Source organism: Homo sapiens, chromosome 13 (genome assembly GCF_000001405.40).
Source record: "Homo sapiens chromosome 13, GRCh38.p14 Primary Assembly".
Taxonomy (NCBI): Eukaryota; Metazoa; Chordata; class Mammalia; order Primates; family Hominidae; genus Homo; species Homo sapiens.
In genome coordinates, this window is record NC_000013.11 from 104,140,273 (window position 1) to 104,164,354 (window position 24,082).

Below are 24,082 nucleotides of genomic sequence, written 5' to 3' on the forward strand. Positions count from 1 at the left end.
TTAAATAAATGACAGACAGGAGGATGCACTCTGCTCTATTTAGGTGTCTTTTCAGGTAGAAAACCAAAAAGGTATTTTCCTTGTGCCCTTTCCTATTTGTCTCAGAAACAAATGTTAATGTTTTATATATAATTTACCTTAACCGATAATTGGCAATAAAGATAAAATAATTTACTGTTTTAAGATTCCTCCTTGTTAACTAATTAAACCAGCGGCAGGCGTGGGGCACAGGACAATGGCAAACTTTCAGCTGAATTAATTTTATGGAAGACCAGCTGAGTAATTGGACTCCAATTACAGGCAGTTTAGCTCCATCATCACCTTCATATATAATTAAATGGAATTGGTTGATACAGCTTCTATTTTTATGAGGGCACTTACCAGCTTTTTGAACCCCACTGTGACTTTGGATTCAGGCCAGTCAATTATTAGTCATTTCTCTTTCAAATGGAAATGCTTTGGATTCGTCATATCTTTTGTAATGCTTGCATTGAAAATCTCTCTCTTTTGCAAAGTTGTGGTATATTGGAATCTCTCTTTATAGTTCTACATAGAAGGCATATTCATTTATGTTGGAATGTAGTCAGAGGAGCACCAAAAGGTCACAGCTACATGAATTCGAAGGTTTGCTGAGATGACAACCTGTGTCATCTCAGTGGCAGATGAACCTGGTACTTTTGGAAAAACTTCAGAATGGACCTTAATTTATGTATTTATTTATTTTTGCAAAACTCATCCGGAAATCACTATGCTTACTTTTCCAAAGTTCAGGTAATTTGATTCTCTTGTAAGGGACACTTACTATATTTTGCGAAATATGTAGCAATGCTATAACAAAACTCTGTTTATCCAAATATTCTATAAATAAATTTTCACATATATATAATGATGAATTGATTATGAGGGTTTGATTTGCAAGTGTACAAATTTCCATTGTTTTTATTGCAAATGTTTACTAAGCTGAAAGAATATTTATAGTATAATAAATTTTTGAAGACATACCACTTATTAGGTTTTATTCATTAGTCTGTAAGCTCAGATTTGCTTTAGATGTCTAAAAAACATTCTTGGTAAAAGAGAAAATATATTTTTTAAATGGCAATTATTTTGGGAGAATATCTTTGTTTATTCTAATCTAATCTGTTAAAGGATATAATTTATTAAACAAAAAATATTATTTCTAAGTTATATTATCAATCACAATGAAGTACAAATTACTACACGGGTATATGCAGTTTTGACTATACTGTACTGTAAGCAGCATATTTGTTCTTAATAGTTATTTTTAAACTTTGTAGTAATTTATCAGTGACAAAATAAAATTTACCAATTACAAAGTGCTACCAGTAATGACTCTTCATAACTCACTATGATGACAAAATCATTTCTAATTTTATCTAAGAAAAAAGAAGGCCATCAATTTGCAAGACATAAAACTGGAGAAGCAAAGAATGGTCTGACATTCATTAAAGAAAAAAATTTATTTTAACCAAACAGTATAATTAAGTGAAGTGAAAGCATTTTATTTCATAGCCTTGTAGCTTTAGTTTGAAAGATTGTGAATATGACTTGAAGTCTTCCTTTCTAAGATTTTCTAGCTTCAATTTTCTGAAAAATTTATTATTTGGAATTCAGCAAATTATTAACAAGGTAGTGAAACTTCTCAAAGCTATATAAATTCCAAATGATAGGTTAATAATTAATATTGATCTCTAGGATTGTGAAAACTCTGAGTTATAACAATAATTTTCAATAAAGCTACCCAACCAAAATTATAAGGATTGAATCTAATCATGTGGATAATTTAGTTTTCATATTTACTTATATTTTTAAGGCAACCTTGATGCTAAGTACCTAATTTAAAAAATAATGTTAACATGTAAAAAAGAAGTGTAAGTTTAGTCTAATAATGTATATATCATAAAATTATATTTTAAAGAGGATGTGTTAATAATATCTATCACTCATAATCTTGGTACCCAAGTACATAATTTAATTTCACATTCTGAAAATAGCTTTATATATTTAATAAATATATTCTACATATTTAGCAAAACACACTAGGCTATTTTTTAACTATACTTTTGTCAACTGTTGCTCTTTTCTATTTGAAGATAAATAGAAAAAGTTATTTTGATATGGCTATTTTAAAAAAAGAAAATCTCTTTTACATTATTATTTTAACAACATAATTTTTCTACTGAACTCACTTTTTAATTGATTATATCCCTTATAAAAATAGGAAATATTTTCAGAATATATCTAAAACCCAGTGCCATTGGCAGTAGACCATGGTAGATTATAATTGCCTTTGGTAAAAACTTAGTGTTTAGCTTTCTGAGGACACATTACAGTATCTGACATCAACCTCCCGTCCATTCATCTACATTCTCATTGAACCCTCAAACCTGAATGGAGAAGCATTAGGTTTCTTACATGAACTCCCAAACATTTAAAAGCCTTCTTGGATTGAAGTTACACCAAAGACTCCTGAGTAGTTAATATCGAATGCAGCTAATATATTACACAGTCCCAAATTAAAACGAGGGAATCCAGGCAGTAACAAAATAATTCACAGTGCAACGTCAGAGTTGTCCTAATACAACGATTTCATTTTATAGGAAAGCGGGACAACTCAGTTATCTCCTTTGTATATACAGAACAGGTCGGAGTTAAGTTTTGATAAAAAACATAAGCTTCACAATTAATAGACCCTACTTTGGAGGGTGTTTTTAAAGTATTTTAAAAGCACTTTTAATAAAACACAGAAGCAAAGATTGCCTCCGCAGTCTTAAAACACTTTACCTTGTGGCCCTAAATAAGTGGATTGATGGTTTATTTAGAAAAACAGTTGTAAAAACTGGAGCATGAAAAACAAGGGAAATAATTAACTTTGCCCCAATTTTTTATTATAATTTTATAATCAACTTTTGTTTTCTGAATTATGTTATAAAGATTGTCATTGTTGCACTTAGTTGTATGTCTGAGAGCTAAATGGGACATTAGAATTGATATAATTAAATTCAACCAGTTTAAAAATAAGAAAATTGAACATGGAAGAGAAAAAGGACACAGCAATATTTGGTCAGAAAACATAATCATGTAATACATTTTTTGCAATCATTAATGTTAATTCCACTATATTTTGTGTAACCCCAGCTTGATATTTTTATGTTTGATTTTAATATTTGCCTTTTAATGCAAAATATTAATTTATCTAGTCAAATATTAAACTCTCATGGTAAACACTTTTACATAGCACTAAAAAATACCTGGAAACTCCATTTTGAAGATAGCCTTATGTTACAATCATTAAATCTGTTTTTGGGAGAACAGGTGTAAAAAATTGGATCTCATATTTGGAGTATAACATTTTTATGTGCCCCGATATTAATGCTGTTAAATTTTTTCTAAAAGTTAATCAATTCTTACTATAATATTTGTTTTAGTTCTATAAGAAGCAAAAAAAGATGATGATTGCTTTTAGGCAAATTGCATAAACCCTGTTTAAATCTAGACAAAACTTGGAGAAACCCTTCTCAGAAAACACAGGTGATTAACGGTAGAAGTACACATTTACTGCTGTTAAATCAATGCAGGTTTGTCTTTAGTTTTGCAGACCTCTTAAGTCGCCAGTTTCACATTATGCAAAAAGGACTCTCTTGATCATAGGGAAGAATCGACCTTTGCCTTCCCTGGGAACAGAATAAACTTTCAGGTATCATCTGGAATAAGGAGAATGTGTAATAAGATGTTTGCCCGTCTCTCTCTAGCTTCCCTAAGAAATAGTTTAACTGGGATATTCGGCCTCCCCGTCCACAAACATTCTTCTTTGCATACAGTACAACAAAAGCCTGTGTTTGCCCGTGGTGTCAGCTTAACAAAGTGCAGGGTGAGCACCAGCTTCCTGGGCAGAGCAGAACATCAATAACCCAGTAGGAAGTGGCGGGGACAGAAGACAAACACGGGTCAGTGAGGGAAAGCCTGGTGGGTGGTGGGACACAGATCTTCAGACACAATAAAGAGAATGACATCAGAGGGATTCATCCTTCTTTTTAATCTGAATTCTCAGTTATTAACTGAGACATAACATCATATAGGAACAACAAAGGAAGGCTCAGGCACTTTTCAGCTGCCTTGCAGATGGCATCTAAATGGCAGACTCAGTGTTCCTGTGAGAATTTGCCAGCGGCCGTTGTGCTGGGAGAGTTACTCAGCTTAGGGGAAAAGGGGCACATAACTGTGCCGGCTTAAGTGGATATTATTCTGTCATGTACACCGCTAGGCCTCCCCCGTTTTCTGTCATTATTTATTAGGTGCACGTGAACCCCATGCAGAATTTTCAAAATTCTGGCATATTTTTTCAGTGAACAGCTGGCAAAAGAAAATAATGCTATGTAGCCATCTCATGTATATAAGGACATACATTTTTTAAAAACAGCTGAGCAGGAAATCATTAGTTTTTACGTCAACTGGATTTTATAAGACCTGATTGCAAAATATTTCTCTTGATATGCATATTACATCAAAGAAATATTTATTGTTTTTCTATGTTAACTGTATCATCAAGGGGAAGCATAACTGAGAAGTGATAATTCAATACATTGAATGGATTTCTTCAGGATATGGAAACATTTGCTTTTAAAAAAAATTCATGATGCCAGCAAAGTATATTGGCTCTGTAAATAGAATAATTTCTATGAGAATTCCCACTTCTTTGTTCAGAATTTTACTTAATCAGGGAAGCAGCATAGCGTGTTGGATATTTGTGTCTCAATAAATAGAAAATATGGGGGAATGCCATTATCAACACAACACTACTGCATCAGACAAACTGAAAGCATCACCCTAAGTGTTAATTCAAATGTGTAAACCACATAAAGATTTACTTCTAACTATTTATTTTGAGGGGTTTTGAAGAAATGTTTACAGAATTTTTTTTTAATAAAAACACAGTGAAGTAGAATTTTCCGGCAACAGTTGTAAAACTACAAATTCCAGGTAACTTCTTCAAATATTTATACACCTGCGAATCATACAAATTTGATGTAATCCACCTTCTTCCAATTTCATTTACTTAACAGATTAATAATCAACCTTATTGCTCTTTATATCTGATAATTTTTTGAATAAAATCTTAATGTTTGGCCAAATATTGACTTTCTTTATACTGAAGTAAACACCATTTTGGTTCCTGTTTTATTTTAAATATAGTGAATTGTTATAATAACACTATGTTTTAGGAGCAGCACCGTAGTTGCTTTATAGAACAATATTGTCCCGTCGGCTTTCATCATTAGGAAGTAGATAAAACATATCCGTGTTATATTCAAATGCATGCGATTGCAGGGTGCTTAATGACCTAGTTCTACCTTATTAAATCTGTACAGGATATTTGAAAAACAAAGTTTTAGAAACAGGAAATCAATTCACAAGAGATTTTAAGCAAATAGTACTCATCATTGCTATATTTAACAAATGAAATGGAATTCTGTGATGGAAATTTATGAATATGTTCAGAAGTATAGCAATATAAATATACATTAGAATTTGTTACTAATTCAATTATTCTTTTTCACCTCATCTGTTAGGTAAAAGCTTAACTAAACAAATTAATATTGAGTGGTTCCCAGGAGGCCAAGAACCATAGACTTTGCGGTAATGCAGAGGAAATGAGTTTCAGATATGTGTGTCCTTTGGGGAAAATGGCTGAAGTTCAACTCAGGAGATCATGGGCAGTAGTGCCCTATTGATCTCTCTTCTGCAAGTGTAGCTATCATGAAAGTGAGTAAGTAATCTCCAAAGTAACTAGGGACTCAACTATTATATAGGCGAAAATCAATATTCTTGAATTCCACAGTTAAAAAAAAGGTCAGGTGCAATTCTAATATCCAGATGCAGTCAGCTCATTAAGTAGAACAGAAATCATATCAAAGTTTCAGCTGGGGGAAGGGAGATGACAGGCTGCTTTTTTCCACAATTATGATTCACAGGATGTTTGAAAGCATAGATATAATACTATATTTTAGAAATTGTTCAATGAGAATGAAGGTAGCATTCAATTGGGTAATAACAAAGTATCCTTCTATACTTTTACAGTTGTCTTCTTTAAAGTTGTCAGAAAAAGTAAAAACCAGTGCAATCAATTCACCAATGTGCTCTTCTTGTACAGAGATATTTCTTAATGAAATGAAGAAAGTGGCTGTCTGCAATTTTGAGAAATCAAATTAGTGGAATGGTTCTGTCTGAAAACCTTAAAGGCTTATTATTGTCATGTATTCCTCTTTTGATTTTTTTTGATCCATTTATTTCGATTTTATTTTTGATTCTTTTTTTGATTCATTTATTCATTAAACAAATATTTGCATAAGCAATTTTTACTCAGAATTACCCCAGGCACTAGAAATACAACATTGAACTGAACAGATGTCATGTCATGAGACAATTGACATAAAAGGAGATGAGATTTTTAACAAGTGTACAAATATATAATGTTAGTGATAAATGCTACGAAGCAAAATAAGAGACAAGGAAGTGAGGAAGACTCCATGTATATATATGGATGGTGTTTTAGTTTGGACTGCTGTTAAAAAATGCCAAAGACTGGGTAGCTTATAAAAAACAAAAGTTAATTCATCACACTTATGGAGACTGGGAAGGTCAAGGTCAAGGTGCAGGTAGATTTGGTGCCTGGTCAGGGGTCCATTTCCTGCTTCACTGATGACACCATGTCACTGTGTGCTCACATGGTAGAAGGAAGAAGGCAGCTCTCTGAGGCCTCTTTCAAAAGGGCATGAATTGCATTCATGACAAATTTACCTTCATGGCCTAATCACCTCCCAAAAGGCCCCCACTTTTAATACCATCACCTTGTGGGTTAGCATTTCAACATATGAATATGAGGGGAACACAAACATTCAGATCATGGCATTCTGCCCCGTCCTCCCACATCATGTACTTCTCATATGCAAAATGTATTCATTCTGCCACAATCGGGTCAAATGTCTTAATTCATTCAAGCATCAACTGGAAAGTCTCAAGTCCAGAGCCTCGTCTAAATATCATCTAAATCAGATATGGCTGAGTCTCAAAGTCTTGTGGCAAATTGCCCTCCAGCTGTAAACCTGTGGAATCAAACATAGTATGTGCTTCCAAAATACAATGATGGAACTCGCATAGGATAAATAGTCCCATCCTAAAGAGAAAAATAGGATAAAAGAAGGGAGTAAGAAATCCTAAGTAAGTCTATAACTTTAAGGCCTGAGAATAATTTTTTTTTTCACTAGAAGCTCTGTCCTCCAGGCTCACTGGGGTGGAGGTTCCACATTCTGGACCCACTAGGGTGGTCCATTAGGGCAATGGCCCTGTCCCCGTGGCTTTGCACAACCCCATCCCTGCAGAGTTTCCCTGCAGTAGTCCCACTTCCATGGTAGCTTTGTCCCTGGGTTTGACATCTGCAGCCCTCCCAGGTTGGAAATCAGCTCTACCAGTCTAGGGTTTCAGGGGCAGCCTATCCCATGATTCCATCAGGTATTGCCATAATGGGGACTCTCTGAAAACCCCCATGGTGGTTTTCTGCTTAGGCTTTGTGGTTATCTGGGCATCCTCTGAAATCTGGGTGGAGCTTTGCTGAGTACTGTGCGTGCTGTGCAGGGACCCACCAGTGTAGCCAAGGAATATAGCGAAGAGTTCAAGTAGCAGAGCCTTGAGGCAGCATGGGGAGCCAGCACCAAGATCCCATGGGCACTCCTGTCCCCACTTTTAAAATCAGGCTCTGGAACTCTAGCCCTGTGATGGGAAGGGGAGCGCCTATAGTCTCTGAAACGCCTTAAAGTTCATTCTTCCATTGTCTTGTTGAATACCACTTCAATGATCCACATCAATTCCTATCCAATGGTCCCTTGTCTACCCTATTGTTTTTCTCTCCCAAACACATTTTTCTCATTTTTTATAATATGGATAGGCTGAGAAGTTATTTTTAAGCTTTAAGTTTTTCTTATATTTTTAATAAAAGTTCTTTCTTCATATTGCTTCTCCCTTCTTGTATTTTACTATAAATATTCGAGAGTATCCAAGCTGCACTTTCAACACTTTGCTTAAAAATTTCTTCAGCTAAAAATCTTATTTTACCACTTGCAATTCTACCTTCGATAAATAACGAAGACATAAACATAATTCAGCCAAATTCCTTGCCACTTTATGACAAAGTTTACCTTTCCTCCAGTTTCCAATTAAATGTTCATCATTTTCATTTTAGACTTCATCAGAATGCCCTTTACTGTGTTATTTCAACCAACATTCTGATCATAACCACTTAAGTATTCTCTAAGATGACTGAGGCTTTCCCTACACCTCTCTTCGCCTTCTGAGCCCTCACCACAATCACTCTGAATAGTTAGTCCATTCACTGCAATGTGGGCTTCTTCTAGCATGCTCCTCACAATTCTTGCAAACACTACCCTCTACTCAATTCAAAAACCACTTCCATATTTTAGACATTGTTATACCCCAAACATGGTACCAATTTTGGACTTAGTTTGTTGAGGTTGCTATAACAAGATATCATAGACTGAGTAGCTTATAAAACAGCAGACATTACTTTCTCACAGTTCTGGAGGCTGGGAAATTTAAGATCAACATGCTGGCATATTCAGCATTTGGGGAGTACTCATTTTCTGATTCATAGATGGTGACATCTTGTTGTGTGGTCACATAGTGGAAGGGGCCAAGAGCTCCCTTGGGCCTATTCTATAAGCTATAAGCACACTAATTGTATAAGGAGGACCCTGGCCTCATGACTTTATTACCATGCAAATGGCCCCACCTCTCCAGGAATTGCAAGATATTTGTTAAACAATTAGCCAGATTTATCAAGAAAAAAATAGAGGGAAACATAATTTACCTATATTAGGAAGGAATGAGGGGATATTATCACAGATCCTACAGACATCAAAAGAATAAAAACATGGTGAAAAACTTTACACCAGTAAAGTTGGTGAAAGTGTTAAAACAGACAAATTCCTTAAAAATCACAACTTATTAAAATCAACTCAGGATAAATATAAAATCTGAATAGCCCTACATCTGTTAAATATGGTGACTTCAGAATTATTTGTTCTCACATTCTTTCCTACAAAGAACACTCTGGCTTAGATAGCTTCCTTGGTATACTCTGTCAAACACTTAAGAATGAAACAATACTAATTTTATGCAAAAACAAAAAACTTGAGAAAACAAGATAATGCAACAGTTTCCAAACCATTATAATGAATCAGCGTAATCTGGGAAAGACTTTACATGGGAAACAAAGAAAACAAAGAAATGGAGGGAGGAATTGAGATGGGGAGGTAGGGAGAGGGAGAGAGAAAAGAAGCCTACAGAACAAAATATCTTTTATGAGCATAGACAATGACATTTTAACAAAATTTTAGCAAATTGATCCCAGCAATAGGCTTTTATGCCAGGAATGCACAGCTGGTTGGTTTTACATTAAAAAAAAAAAAATCTTTCAGTGAAATGTACTGCACTGATAGAGTACAAGATAAGTATGATTTCCATAAATGTAGAGAAATAATTTGACAAAGTTCAACAGATATTCATAATAAAAACTCTCAACAAACTAGGAGTGTAATAGAATATTGCATGACTTGTAGAGTACTGCCTCAACATTTGCTAACTATTTAACTCTGGATATTTGATAGACATTTCCACTGTAGGCATTAGAGTCTTCGCATTCTATACAGAAACATTTTCACTATTTATTCAAGTTATTTAGTAGTATAAGATGCCTTTAAAAATTTTTAAATGTAGGTAAGACCATAATATAATTATATGCATTTCCTCAGATTTGTCCATTTTCTCAAAAGTTTTACATTTGATATGAATTTGTTATGATATCCTCTTTTTATAATGCATAAAACATCTACAATAATGTCACAGCTTTTACTCTTGCTATTGTTTATTTGAGCCATTTCTCTCTCTCTCTCTCTTGCTTTAAATCCATCTTGCAAGTAAACTGTAAAATTTTTTAGGCTTTTTAAAGAACTATATTTCATTTTGTTAATTATCTTTATTTTATCCCATTTATTATTATACTAAAATTTACCTTTATATTTTTAATTTTAAATCGAATTTAGTTTTTCAAACTTACGGGCAAAAACTTCACTGGAATCAGTACAGGGTTACGACAAACCGAAATGTAATTGACTGATTGTTGAAGGCTCACTGTGAACAAGTCTGAGAGTTAAAAACTCAGGCTTAGAGGGGTCCCACACTCCTGTGGTTTTTACTTCCAGTAAACCTACCAGGTTCTCACACTGAAGAGCTGAGAAAAAAATAAATAAATAAAGTCCTTCATGCTTTCCTTACTGGAAGGGAGAAAAGTATCTATTTCGAATTTTGGACTGAACATTCTTTTCTTAATGTCTATCCTGAAAGGAAACTATTTCACTAGAGCCTAACCCATGGAGATTTTACCAGAGCCTAACTGACCCAGGAGAAGGGAAATGCCCAACTGCAGCCTGCTTGTAGTAGTTAGGGTTCACCAGAGTAACATAAACAAAAGACATACACACACACACACACACACACACACACATAAACACACACACACACATACACACACACACACACACACACACACACAGAGAAAGAGAAAAGAGAAAAGAGAAAAATGTAAGAAATTTAGCTTAAATGATTATGGAGGCCAAGGAGTCTCAAGATCTGCAATCTAAATGCTTGAGAACCAGGAGAATTGATGGTAAAAGTTCCAGTCCGAGTCCAAGGGCAGGAGCTATTCTCATGCATCTCTGGTTATTACAGGGATATAGCACAATGAACGTGGTGACTTTGTACTTTGTCAACCTAGGTAAGCTAGAACTACATTTTCCAGAATGCACTATCCTGCAATGGGGCATGGATTTATTGCTATTCTCTGAGGTGGTGTTAGGCCCAGTTGCTGTTGCAGCTCACATACTTGTCTTGGCATGGGGTTCACCTGCTTTGTATGGAGCAGGTCTGTTCTCCCTTGGGCTCCCACTGCAACTCCTTCAGATCTTCCACATCCTAGGGCAAGGATGTGTTTGCAGCTTTATGTGAGGGGTAACCACTTCTTCTGCAGGTCATCCACATTTTCAGGGCTGAAGGTGTTACTGAAATGCCAGGGGTTTGATCCAGATCCTGCTGCTCACCACGCCATACATACATGTGTGTGTATACATATATGTATATGTATATGTATGCATATGAAAGTTAATATCTATAATATTTTATATACATATATATTCCATTAATTCTGTCCCTCTAGAGAACCCTGACTAATACAATTAAACTATATACATAAGGGCCATGACGTTTCATCCATTTTCTCATCTGGCAGTAATTTCTTGAAGGTGTGCTTCATGCATTCCCAGCTCTTCCACTGGCTAGCCTGGAATCTCAAAATCAGTTACTCAACCTCTCCAGACCTCGATTTCTTTGGGAATTGAATTAAACACAGTTGACTCTTGAACAACGTGGAGGGTGAGGTGTGGACTCCCCATACAGTTGAAAATCCACATATAATTGTTGACTCCCCAAAAACTTACCTACAAATAGCCTACTGATGACCAGAAGCCTTATCGATAACCTAAACAGTTGACTAATACATATTTTGTACATGTATTTTATTCCGTCTTCTTACAAAAAAAGAGGCTAGAAACAAAGATTATAAAGAAAGTCATAAGGAAGAGAAAATACACTTAATATTCATTAAGTGGAAGTGGATCATCGTGAAGATCTCCATCCTCATCCACTTCATGTTGAGTAAGCCGAGGAGAAGGAGGAAGAGGAAGGGGTGGTCTAGCCGTCTTAGCAATGACAGAGGCTGAGGAAATTCCGTGTATAAGTGAACCCACAGAATTCAAACCCGTCTTAACTAAGGGTCAACTGTAATTCATTATGGTCTCTTTCTACTCTAAAACTATTATTCCATAAAATCCTAAAAAGGTATATATCACACTAAATTTCATACGTAGCGCAATATTAAATTTATAGCAAGGTCCCAGGGCAAATAGATAAATTCGAATTGATACACTTCACATTTTATCTTCAAATTATATTTTAAAATAAAACTTTAGCAATCACCAAAACCCTTCAAGAAAGAGGAGGATAAATAGAAAATTTAAAAAAAAAAATAGAAAGAGGAGGAAAGAATATTCTGAGCTATGTATAGCCAATGAATCCCTGACAAATTCTTAGAGCTCATCAGGTTACAAAGTGACAGTGAGAAAACACAAATCTTGCCAATGTGCTGTAATTGATTTTCAATTATAAGGTCCTTTCCCCTTTCTCTTGGTTACACTGTAAAATTTTGTCATTTTTGGTGGATTCCAAAACATGGATTAAACCATATGGATTGAGAAGGGTTATTATGCCTCAAAGTTTCACTGATATGAATTGCCAAAATGTTTCATATTGAGATGTATCAAGAATGCAGCAAGTAATTGAGTCAGTTTTGCTGTTGTTGCCATTGTTACAATCTTTGGACAAAAAGACGGAGGGGTCACTATGTAGCAGGTGACTCTAGGAATAGAAGTCAGAATAATTTCTTATGCAAAATAAAAACCTGTTGGAAAACAAGATATTACAGAGTTCTAAAGTTATTTGCAGAGGGAAGGCCTAAAAGTTCTTCTCTGTGCATTTTAAAGACTCCTAATTTGTTTAGGGAACTTCCACATTTATTTCACAACTTTAATTGCTTAATCTAAATGGAGTTCAAGTTTTTCCAGGGGAAAAAAACTTGGTTTGTCTCAACAGTTGTCAGATTTTGTAAAAGAGACTTAAGCCAAGCTGTTCTAGCAATTATCATTTTATTTAAGAAGCTAGCATTGAAAAATAAAACAACCTTGGATCACCAGCCTGAAATGCATGAGATTTTTAATTACTTTTAAAGACATGAATAATCTAATTTGAAATGTTAATCCTTGAGTGTGCATTGGGACAAAAGTTAACAATTGTATCTTGTTAGTGATAACCAATACTCAACGGTTAGTAAACTATTTGTTACATGAGAATCACTGGTGAGAATGTAAGGTTTACATGAAAAGGCAAGAAATAAAAGTAAATTACTAATGGATAACTTCATTTCTCTAACAGTTTTATCTACACCACTCACTTTAAGAGATAGCAACAGTCACACCACACACACTCTTCGAGGGAATAGAAATAAAGTCAACATTTTGTGATGTTATAATAAATACATTTTCCATGGAAAATAAAATTTCACCTAAACTAAATTAAAATGACATTATCATTATCCTAGGAAATAAAAAAATTCTAAAAGACATTAAAATTTGTATGCGAATCTGTATTCATTAACAGTTAATCACAAAGATATGAATGTAATTGCCGTTAAGTACAAGTAAGAATGTTTTTTTAACAAAAGGGAGTGAAATTGACTAGGGAATTTATTAACCAATCAATAACCAATTTAATAACCTACCAATTTATTAACATATATTGAAAACAGAATAAGTTGTACTTTTTAAATAAGAAATATCTTTGCTATGCTATGTGATTTTTAGCTGTTTGAGATTTATCAAACATAGATTTGTTTTTTACTGTATTGCATCAATAATTCTATCTGGTATTCGATGTATTAAATATAACAGAGTTTAGCACATCCACAGCTTAATAATTGGTGTTATTTTACAAATTCAGTAAGCTGCATCTAATTGAAAATACCTCTGCCAGTGAGAATGGAATGAGGCAGTAAAAGTGAGAGATAAAGCAGATTAGAAAATAATTGGGGAGGCATGTTTCAAAATTGGGGAGGCATGTTTCAAAATTGGGGAGGCTGAATTAAAAGAACTGGGCTAACATTTGATAGGACAATCAACTGTGCAATTTTATGAACTGAGAAAGTGTACTGACACAAGAAAATGTTATGAAAACAGCAGAGTTAGGAAGGGCATAAGTTCTTTTTATACTCAGAATCTATGATTTTATGGATTCCAGAGAGGAAAGCTGAATGCATAGTGGAGCAGTATTAGGGTTCTCCAGAGAAAAAGAACCAGTAGCATTAATGGATAGATAGATACAGTATATATATAAAATATATATGTGTATATATATTATATATACGTATACAATACATAGTATATATAATATATAGTATATATAGTATATACATACTATATATAATACACTATATATCACTATATATAGTATATATTATATATAGTATATATAATATATAGTGTTATATATATGATATATAGTATATATATAATATATAGTGCACACACACACACACAAACGGAGAGAGGTTATTTTAAGGAATTGGTTTATGTGGTTGTGTGGCTGGCAAGTCTAAAATTTGCGAAGTAGACCAGCAGGATGGCAATCCAGGGGAGATTAGGTGTTGCTGTGTGAGTTCAAGGGCAGTCTGGAGGCAGAATTCCCTCTTCCTTGGGGGATGTCAGTCTTTCGCCTTAGGACTTCAGCTGATTGGATGAAGCCCATTCATGCTTTGGAGGATAAACTGTTTATTTAAAGTCTACTGATTTAAGTGTTAATCTCGGGGAAAAAAAAAGGTTTACTGCAACATTCAGTTGTGTTTATCCAAATATTTGTATATGGTGGCCTAGCCAAGTTGACACAGAAAACTAGCCACCACGGGCACTGTATTGGAAAACTTGAGAGAAAACAGTAGTCACAGTTTTTGCTTTTAAAGATGAGTATGAACAGTAGATGGAAGGAGAATCAGCCAAGTAAGCCTTTTGCAATAGAAAGATACAAACTCCAATAAAACACCTGAAGTAACATAAAAATAAGGCAAATGCCCAAAAGATAAAAATGGAAAAGAAGCTACAAAAAGAGTATTTGGTTGGCATTCTCTGACTATTCTCAGGATATTTGAAGAATCAAAGGTTCTGGAATAAGGAATAGAGAAAAAAATCTTTAATCGAAAAGGGAGACTGAACTGGTCACTAGATTTTATGGTGTAAAATAATATTCTAGTCTCTAGAAGGAAAATCTGCCAACTAGACAGGGAGAAGGCAAGGGAATTTGTCTGTTCTGCTCTAGACAGTAGTGAAAATGACATAAAATAAAGTAACTCTCTCAAAAAATGTATGACCAGAGACTTACCTTTGGAACAGTAATTCACATCATCTGAGTAGTTCAGGAAGTTTTACATAGAGAAATTAGCATAAAATGTATAACATATGATATCCCTGACATAAATTAACACAGCATCTCTCCAGCGATAGGTCCTCAGTACAGGGTAGAGAGAAATCTCAAGGATAAAAACTCAGAAAGCATAAGCCTCCATCCAATACTACAAATACATGAGGGGGAAATACCCACTCTCAGAGAAAATCAGTGAAAAATAAAAATAAAGTTTGGCCCTCATTAAAATTAGAAAAGGAGGGTTTTTTAAAATATTAAATATAAAAGTAAGTGTGCCTAAAATAAATCAATATATAAATGTTGGAATAAAAATATGTTATTAATAAAAAATATAAGACAATGTAGACAAACACTTAATAAGATAATAGTAAAGCCACTAAGAGAAATTCTGGGAGGCAAAAAAAAAAATATTCTCACATATTAAGACAATAAAACTTGTTAAGTCAGAAAATGTTTGTGAAGGTATATTGTTTAGGAGCAAAACAGAAATTTTAACCACCTTCTCTAACTATAATGATATTATTACAAGCAGTAAGATATAACTAAATATATCTTATATAATTGAAATTTTAAATACATACCATGATGGGTCAATGAAGATATTTTAATACATATTTATTTAAAAATATTTTGTATTGAACAAAAATTATATTGAAAAGTTTAGTTTAGTTATTCATATAAGGTGCTACAGAGATCAAAATTTCTAGGAAAAATGCTTATAATCCAAAGGAAGAAATGAACTTATGTTTTAGGTTAAGAAGTTCTCACAGAGAACAGATTCACTAAAAAAAGGTAGACAGAAAGAAATAATAAAGATGTGTCAAAATTAATAATATTAATATAAATAAAATTGAAAAATACAGACGGTCCCTTGACCATTGAAGAAATGAAAACTTAACTGAAAAAGGTACACATAAGATTCATCACACTCATGTCTCATTTTATGGGCTAAAAGTTTCTTCATTCCAAAATCTGACAAGGACAGAACAAGAAAGGAAAATTATACTCCTATCTCATTAAGAGTCACTAGCCCTATATATAATATTATCAAGCCAATCTTGAATTATATGTTAGAAAACATATGATTAGGCTGAATTAAATCACTGGAGAGTGAGGATGGCTGACCCTTAGAAATCCATGAAAGTAACCTACCACATTAAGTAATTCACATAAGAAAATAAAAGATTATCTTTAAAATGCTGCTATGGTCTGAAAGTTTGTAATCCCCTGAAATTCATATTTTGAAATCCTAACCTACAAGGTGATGGTGTAAGGAGGTGGAAGATTTGGGAGGTGATTAGTTCATAAGGATAGAGCCCTCATGATGGGCATAGTACCCTTATAAAAGAGGTCCCAGAGATCTTCCTCACATCTCCCACCAGAGTGCACACAGCAAAATGGCACCATTTGTGAACCAGGAAATGGGCCCTCACCAGGCACAATGCAGCTTGATCTTGAACTTTCCAGGCTCCAAAACTGTGAGAAACAAATTTCTGCTGTTAATAAGCCAAGCAGGTTATGGTATTTTGTTATAGCAGCTTGAACAGACTAAGACAGATGCAAAAAAAGATCTGATGAAATGTCCTCACTCATTCACATAAAAAAAACTACTTTCAGAAAATAAGAATAGGTGGTCCTTGCATAAATATTATATTTTCTAGTAGCAATATTTTTAAAAAGTAAAAAGAGTTAGGTGAAATCAATGTAATAATATACTTTAACCCAATGCATATTATTATTATAAAAACTGTCAGCATAAAAAAATCGTTAAGATATTTTGCACTCTTTTTTGTACTCTATGACTGCCAGTGAATATTTATCACTTACAATAAACCTTAGGTAGATGTAGCTGTATTTCAAGAATTCATTCGCAATGTGTGGCTATTTGATAGCATGGATCTCATGTATTCTAATACAAACTTACAGCAATTAAAATACCAAAGGGTGAGATAAATGGAATGAAGCATAATGCCTCTCACTGATACTTTTATTTAACTCTATAATGAGAAGCCTCAGTAAAAAGATATAAGGAATGAAAAGAATAAAAGCTACAGATATTTTAGATCATAAGATAATCCACATAAAAAATTCAAGAGAACCTTAGACAAACTATTAGAATTCATTTGATAACTTACAATGATTAAAGGATATAAATCATATGCAAAAAGCAATTGAATTTCAATACATTTATTTAAGTTAGAAAATACCACAATAAAGGATAACATTTACTACAGGAGTATCTAAGGGAAGGAGAAGTCAGTAGCAAAATATGTTCAAATCCTGTGTGGAGATAATTATAAAACATTATTAAATTATAATGCAGAAAATCTAAATCAAAAGAGAAAAATGTTATTTTAATGGTTAAAACTTAATGTCATAAAGATGTCAATTATTTCCAATTAAAATAGCAGTAGCTTTTTAATTGGAACTTAATGAAAACATTAACTTAACATTTTCTGTATTTGGCCAGTGTTAACCTTTTTTTTTTTTTTTTTTTTTGTGCAGTTGAGTGATTCCCATGACTGTAGCAAAAACAATGAGGAGAATGTTTTAAGAAGGAGTGGCATTTTACTTTTTAAAAAATTACGTTTGAAATTGTGCTTCTATGCAGAACCAGAACTGTGTTCAAGTTATGCTTTTTATTAGGCTGAGACTTAATAAAAAGTAAAAGTAATATATCACATATTTTCGTTTTAGTAGAAAATGCTTTATTTCTATCAAATTGAAAAGTCGGATTCATTCTTCAGGCAAGATGCTTACCAATAATAAATTGTGTTAGTCCATTTTCATGCTGCTATGAAGAAATACCTGAGAATGTGTAATTTATAAAGGAAAGCAGTTTAATTGACTCACACTTCCTCGTGGCTGGGGAGGCCTCAGGAAACTTATAATCATGGCAGAAGGGAAAACAAATACCTTCTTCTTCACATGGCAGCAGGAGAGAGAAGTGCAAGCAGGGGAAATGCCAGACACTTATAAAAGCATCAGATCTCATGAGACTCACTGACTATCATGAGAACAGCATGGGGGAACTGCCCCCATTATCTAATCACCTCCCACAGGGTCCCTTCCCCAACACATGGGTATTACAATTCAGATTACAATTCAAAATGAGATTTGGGTGGGGACACAGAGCCAGACCATATCATCAATGATACAAATAACCAGACAACACAACAAGATTAGTGTCATAATCTAATCAGGCTTTTATAACAAAATACCATAGACTATGTGGCTTCTATACAATAGAAATGTGTTTCTCACAGTTCTAAGAATACGAAGTCAAGGGGCTGCCAGAAGTCAAAGTGTTGCCAGGGTGCTGACAGATTCGTAGTCTGATGAGTGTCCACTTCCAGGCTCAAAATGGCTGTCTTTTTCCTGTTTCCTTAGATGGTAGAAGGGAGAGGCAAGAGATTACTCTGGAATCTCTTTTATAAAGGGAGTAATCCCATTGACAGTGGGTTCTACCTTCACAACCCAGTCATCTTTCAAAAGCCCCCACTCCCTAATAACATCACATTAGGGGTCAGGATTTCAACATGTGAGTTTTAGGGAGATGTACTAATGTAATATATGTCAGTTAGACTGCAGGTGCTTTGAGTTAAGCAAATAAACCCAAATCAAGATGGCTGACAACTGGTGCCCAAGGAAAAGCACTCCAACACATAGTAAAAAGACAAATACCTTCTAGAAGATTTCAAGGAACAGTAAACCAAGAAGATAAGTTGTTATTTGTGTTAGGCCATTCTCTCATTGCTATAAAGAAATACTTGAGACTGGGTTTGGCTCAATGATTCCTCAAGCTATACAGGAAGCACTGTGCGGGCATCAGCTTCTGGAGAGGCCTTGAGAAGCTTACAAGCATGGTGGACAGCGAAGTGGGAGCCAGCACATCACATGGTGAAAGCAGGAGCCAGAAAGAGAGAGAGAGAAAGTGTGGGGGAAGTGCCACTCACTTTAAAATGACCAAAATCTCCTGTGAACTCAGAGTGAGAGCTGACTTATCACCAAGGGGATGGACCAAGCCACTCATAAGGAACCCACCCCCACGACCCAGTCACCTCCCACCAGGCCCCACCTCAAACATTGAGATGACATTTCAACATGTGATTTGGACGAGGACAAATATCCCAACTATATCATCGTTGAAATAGAAATCTGGTTTCAGTGTGAGAGGGGTTCACAGTAAATTAGAACATGCCTTTTTAAGACCACTTTTGTAAGATTATTTTTGTTCTTTGAGCTAATACAATTTTTCTTGTATGGCTAAATTTGAATAAACTTCATTCATTCCTTCATTCATTCACTTGTTCACTCATAAATCTATATGCCTGTATATACATAGATTTACTTGCCAATTCAAAAAGGCCTTATTGACAATTCTGTCCTCCTTAAATAACAACTACTGGGTACTAATTCTATGAAATCAGAGCAGACAAATGCATGGGCTTTACCCTTGAAGAGCTCCAAGTCCTAGGAATATGTGACAAGTGCAGTGAAGAGTCAATAGTCTTTGTCTTGAGACCATAAATATGTAAAAATTTGCTTGTCAATTAAAAAATAAATTTAAAAGAAAGCACTGAATAAGAATGAGATTCGTATCTTTTCCAGCATGAATGGGTAGAGAATTTCCTTAAAAGTGATGCACGTGAAGAAACAACGTCTGAGGAGCTGTGGCGTAGTGAATAGAGCCAAATGAAGAACAGGAGTCACTGTTTATTGTAAGTGCAGCGTAAGTCAGAACAGTTTAGTAGGAACTATTTCAAATTTCTTTCTAAAAACTTTCAGAAGCGTTAATCTTGATAGTTAATTTTAAATGAAAAGTTAATAGATATATTAAGTCTCAGCCTCATTTATATATATTTTTTCTGGTAAAGAGCTCACAATCTGAATGTGTGCTAGGTGCCAAAATTACCTGTAAATCAGTACTTGAATGAACAAAACAATTGTAAAGGACAAGCAGTTTTTAAACAAACCTAATCCACAAGAAAGCTAATTTTGAATAATTAAAATTATAAAAATTTACCTCTCCCTGAATTATGTTTCATTGATTTCCTAAATGTTACATTTTCTGATCTGTTTCAAAATTGTTCATTAAAAACAAAACCAACACATAGCTAAAAAGAAACTGATGACGCACAATGGTAGGCTAGTTTTTATATTTTATGTACCTTCTTTTCAGAACACACAAATCAGTCTTCTCAAAAATAACCTTGTAATTGGACCTATGTTAAATGCAGTATTTTAACTTTTGAGTGGTTAATGAAAAACCATAAATACTATACTAGCTACTGAAGAAATAAATCCTTCCCATACTTGAAAGCTTCATAGCCACAGGGTTATATAATAGAAGGAAACTGTAGACCACAGAAGAAATTTCCATGTATTTACTATAATATTGAGGACAGAAGAGAAAAAGCTTTAAACTTTCAGTTGTTAAGACATTGTGAATAACAGCCCAGAGTAAGTAACAAACAGATGAATAATGTTAACTTAGGGGCTAAACTATAATAGTTGCTGTCCGTCAAAAGAGTGTGTGGAACTATGCTCCTGAAAAAAAAAGTAGTATGTTTAAATAATTTATGGCATATAAACCATATGGTGACTCTTTATAAAACAAAATACAACTAAAAAATTTTTAAAGGTTGTTTTATTTACAGCAATGACTGAAATACTTTCAATTATTTTTTAACAATATTTATTGAATTTGCTTAGAATTGGATGTGCTCTTTATTATATTGGGTGAATCATTACCTTTAAAAGTATTAAGAAGTATTAAGTATATATAACAATTAAACTTATTTTAAACATGTCAGGAATAAGTTGTGTCCTTCTTTAAAATGTTCTGGAATATTATAAAAATTGCACTGGGAAACTCTACTTTTCTCTTTTAACTAGAGAAAGTCACTTTTGTCTATTTAAGCCATTGACTGTATTTTTTCTTTCCTTTTCAAAAAGTCAACATAAAATTAAACAATTCCATCAGACATTTAATAAAAACATGTAGTTTCTGGTATTTGAAGTCCTTTGGTGCTTTTTGCTACCTTAAGTTCCACTGTCTTCCTAGTGAATTCACTGTGCCATGGCATGGCCTGTCTTTCCAGTACAAAGAGGTTTAAGGAAACAAAAATCAACCCTTCCTGGAACATGTTTTTGACTGGAACAGGAAGATCACTGTATTCCAGAGGAAGGAATATTATAATTGTAATCATGATGTCTGCAGTTCATTTTTGCTTAGGAAAACAAATATATATATTAACAAATTTTCTATTACAACTTCAGAATATTGGTTTTATGTATAAAGTTTTACACAAATGTGTATTAACACATTGATCTGAATGCCAATGTTGGGGGGAACTTGAACCTCATCTCTGAGTTTTGACAGAACTTTATGCCACTCTTGGCAGATACATCAATGCCAAATTCCCTTATTATTCAAAAACTAACCCTATTAAAGTCTAAATTTAAGGTTTTCATTTGCAAGGCAGGGATTTAGGAGATGTATGAGTCCATTTTCACACCGCTGATAAAGACATATCCAAGACTGGGCAATTTACAAAAGAAAGAGGTTTAATTGGCATTACATTTCCACATGGATAGGGAGGCTTCCCAATCATGGTGGAAGGCAAAGAGACCAAGTCCCATCTTACGTGGATGGCAGCAGGCAAAGGGAGAATGAGGAAGACACAAAAGGGGAAACCCCTGATAAAACCATCAGATCTTGTGAGACGTATTCACTACCACGGGAACAGTATGAGGAAAACTACTCCCGTGATTCAATTACCTCCCATCAGATCCCTCCCACAATATGTAAAAATTATGGGAATACAATTCAAGATGAGAGTTGGGTGGGGACACAGAGCCAAACCATATCAGGAAACATTGATAACTTTAATCCCGGTTCATCTCTTTGGTGACCCAACACATCACTAAGTCACATTTAGTTTTTGGTGTGCCAAAAATAATTTGTTTCCACTGATAAAGTGAACTTTTAAATTTTTAAGTAATTGTGGTAGATTTGGGATTATTGCTACAAAAGCATCAGCTCATTTTCATGTTGCTACATTTTTCTAAGAGGAAAAAATTGCAGTTACAGGTTGATATTATTTGGATTTGTGTCCCTGCCCAAATTTCATGTTGAAATGTCATCCCTAATGCTGGAGGTGGGGACTGGTGAGAGGTGACTGCATCATGGGGGGTGGTTTCTCATGAATGGTTTAGCACTGCATCCTTGGTACTGTCCTCATCATTGTGAGTGGGTTCTCATAAGATCTCGTTGTTTAAAACTGTGGAGCACCTCCCACTTCTCTCTCTCTTGCTCCTGCTCCCACCATGTGAGATGTCTTGCTCCCCGTTGGCCTTTCTCCATGGCTGTAAGTTTCCTGAGGCTTCCCTAGAAGCCATGTAGATAACAGAATCATGCTTCCTGTAGAGCCTACAGAACCATGAACCAATTAAACCTCTTTTCTGTATAAATTACTCAGTCTCAGATATTTATTTACAGCAATGTATGAACCACTACTATTGGAAATTGGTACCAAGGAGGGGGGCAAGTACATGGACTTGTGCATATACTAGAGCCTAGAGCAATTGGAATCTGTCAAGCAATGACACATGTGTGCACGTCTGGAACTTGGAAGATGGCTGAGATACAGCAATAGATCATGCATATTTGGGTATTGCACAGCCTAGAGACGGACAGCCCAGGACTAACATTAGAACAAGTCATAACATGGGATTATTTTCTTTCCTATTATCAAAGGATTTGGACACAGGAATGTTTTCTGGGGCTTGTAACTTACTCAAAATACTCTGCTGTCCTAGTTCCTCTAATTAATTGCCCCAAATTGTTATTTACATGTAATTTTCATATACAGATGCTCCTGAACTTATGATAAGGCTTTATATTTCCAGGGAACCCATGGTAAATTAGAAATAATTTAAGTCAAAAATGCATTTAATACACCTGACATACTGAACCTCATAGCTTAGCCTCGCCTCCCCTAAAAGCGTTCAGAATACTTAAAATAGTCTAACCTTGGGTAAAACCATCTAACGCAAAGACTATTTTATAATAATGTTATAACAAATTTTGAATCAAAATTCAATGTTCAAAGTAAGATTTTATTAAATACATATCACCATAGAAAAGTAAAAAAAAAATTAATCAAAGGAACCACCAGAAATCAGGGACCACGTGTAGTGTATTTAAAGTGTATAGTAAATTTGCTTCATAGAAAACAGACTTCTGTGAGTTTTGACTTCCACTTTAGTTCTCTAACATTTTCGTCTTCAGATTTGCTTACTTGCCTCAACATAATATGCAAAGGCTCCATGAAACATCTCATATTGATTTTTCCAAGACTGCCTTACTTGGATATATTTTCAAGTTAGGTTGCATACACATGGTTTATTATGCCTGAAAAATAAATATATTTCTACCCCAACTGCCCTTCCCCAAATATAAGTCCTTTTGCTAATGTGAAGATGAGCTGTTAGTTATGTGTATGTTCACTTTTCACTCTTAATATAGAGCATTCTCTCAATGCTCTTTGTACTTACACTTGATAGCAATGAATAGTTCCATTCATTTTACAAGTTGATCCTCCCCTGAGTGCCTTTAACAAGCCTTGATTTTAGAGAAAGAGGACTTGATTTAATGGATATTGAAGCAAGGGACACAGAGAAGTTAGAGAAAAGGTTTCTAAAAAAGAGACTACAATGTGCCTTTCTGATGTTTATCTGAATAACTACTTCACTTTAGTATTATAAGAGGAAAGAAAGCACTTATTGAGAACCACCATAGCATTTTAGCTAATCAAATCCCCTCTGTATTTTTAAATATATGATGGCTAATCTAATTCATAGGATGAGTCAGTCTATTAGGAAATACGAAATATAAAATTAATGG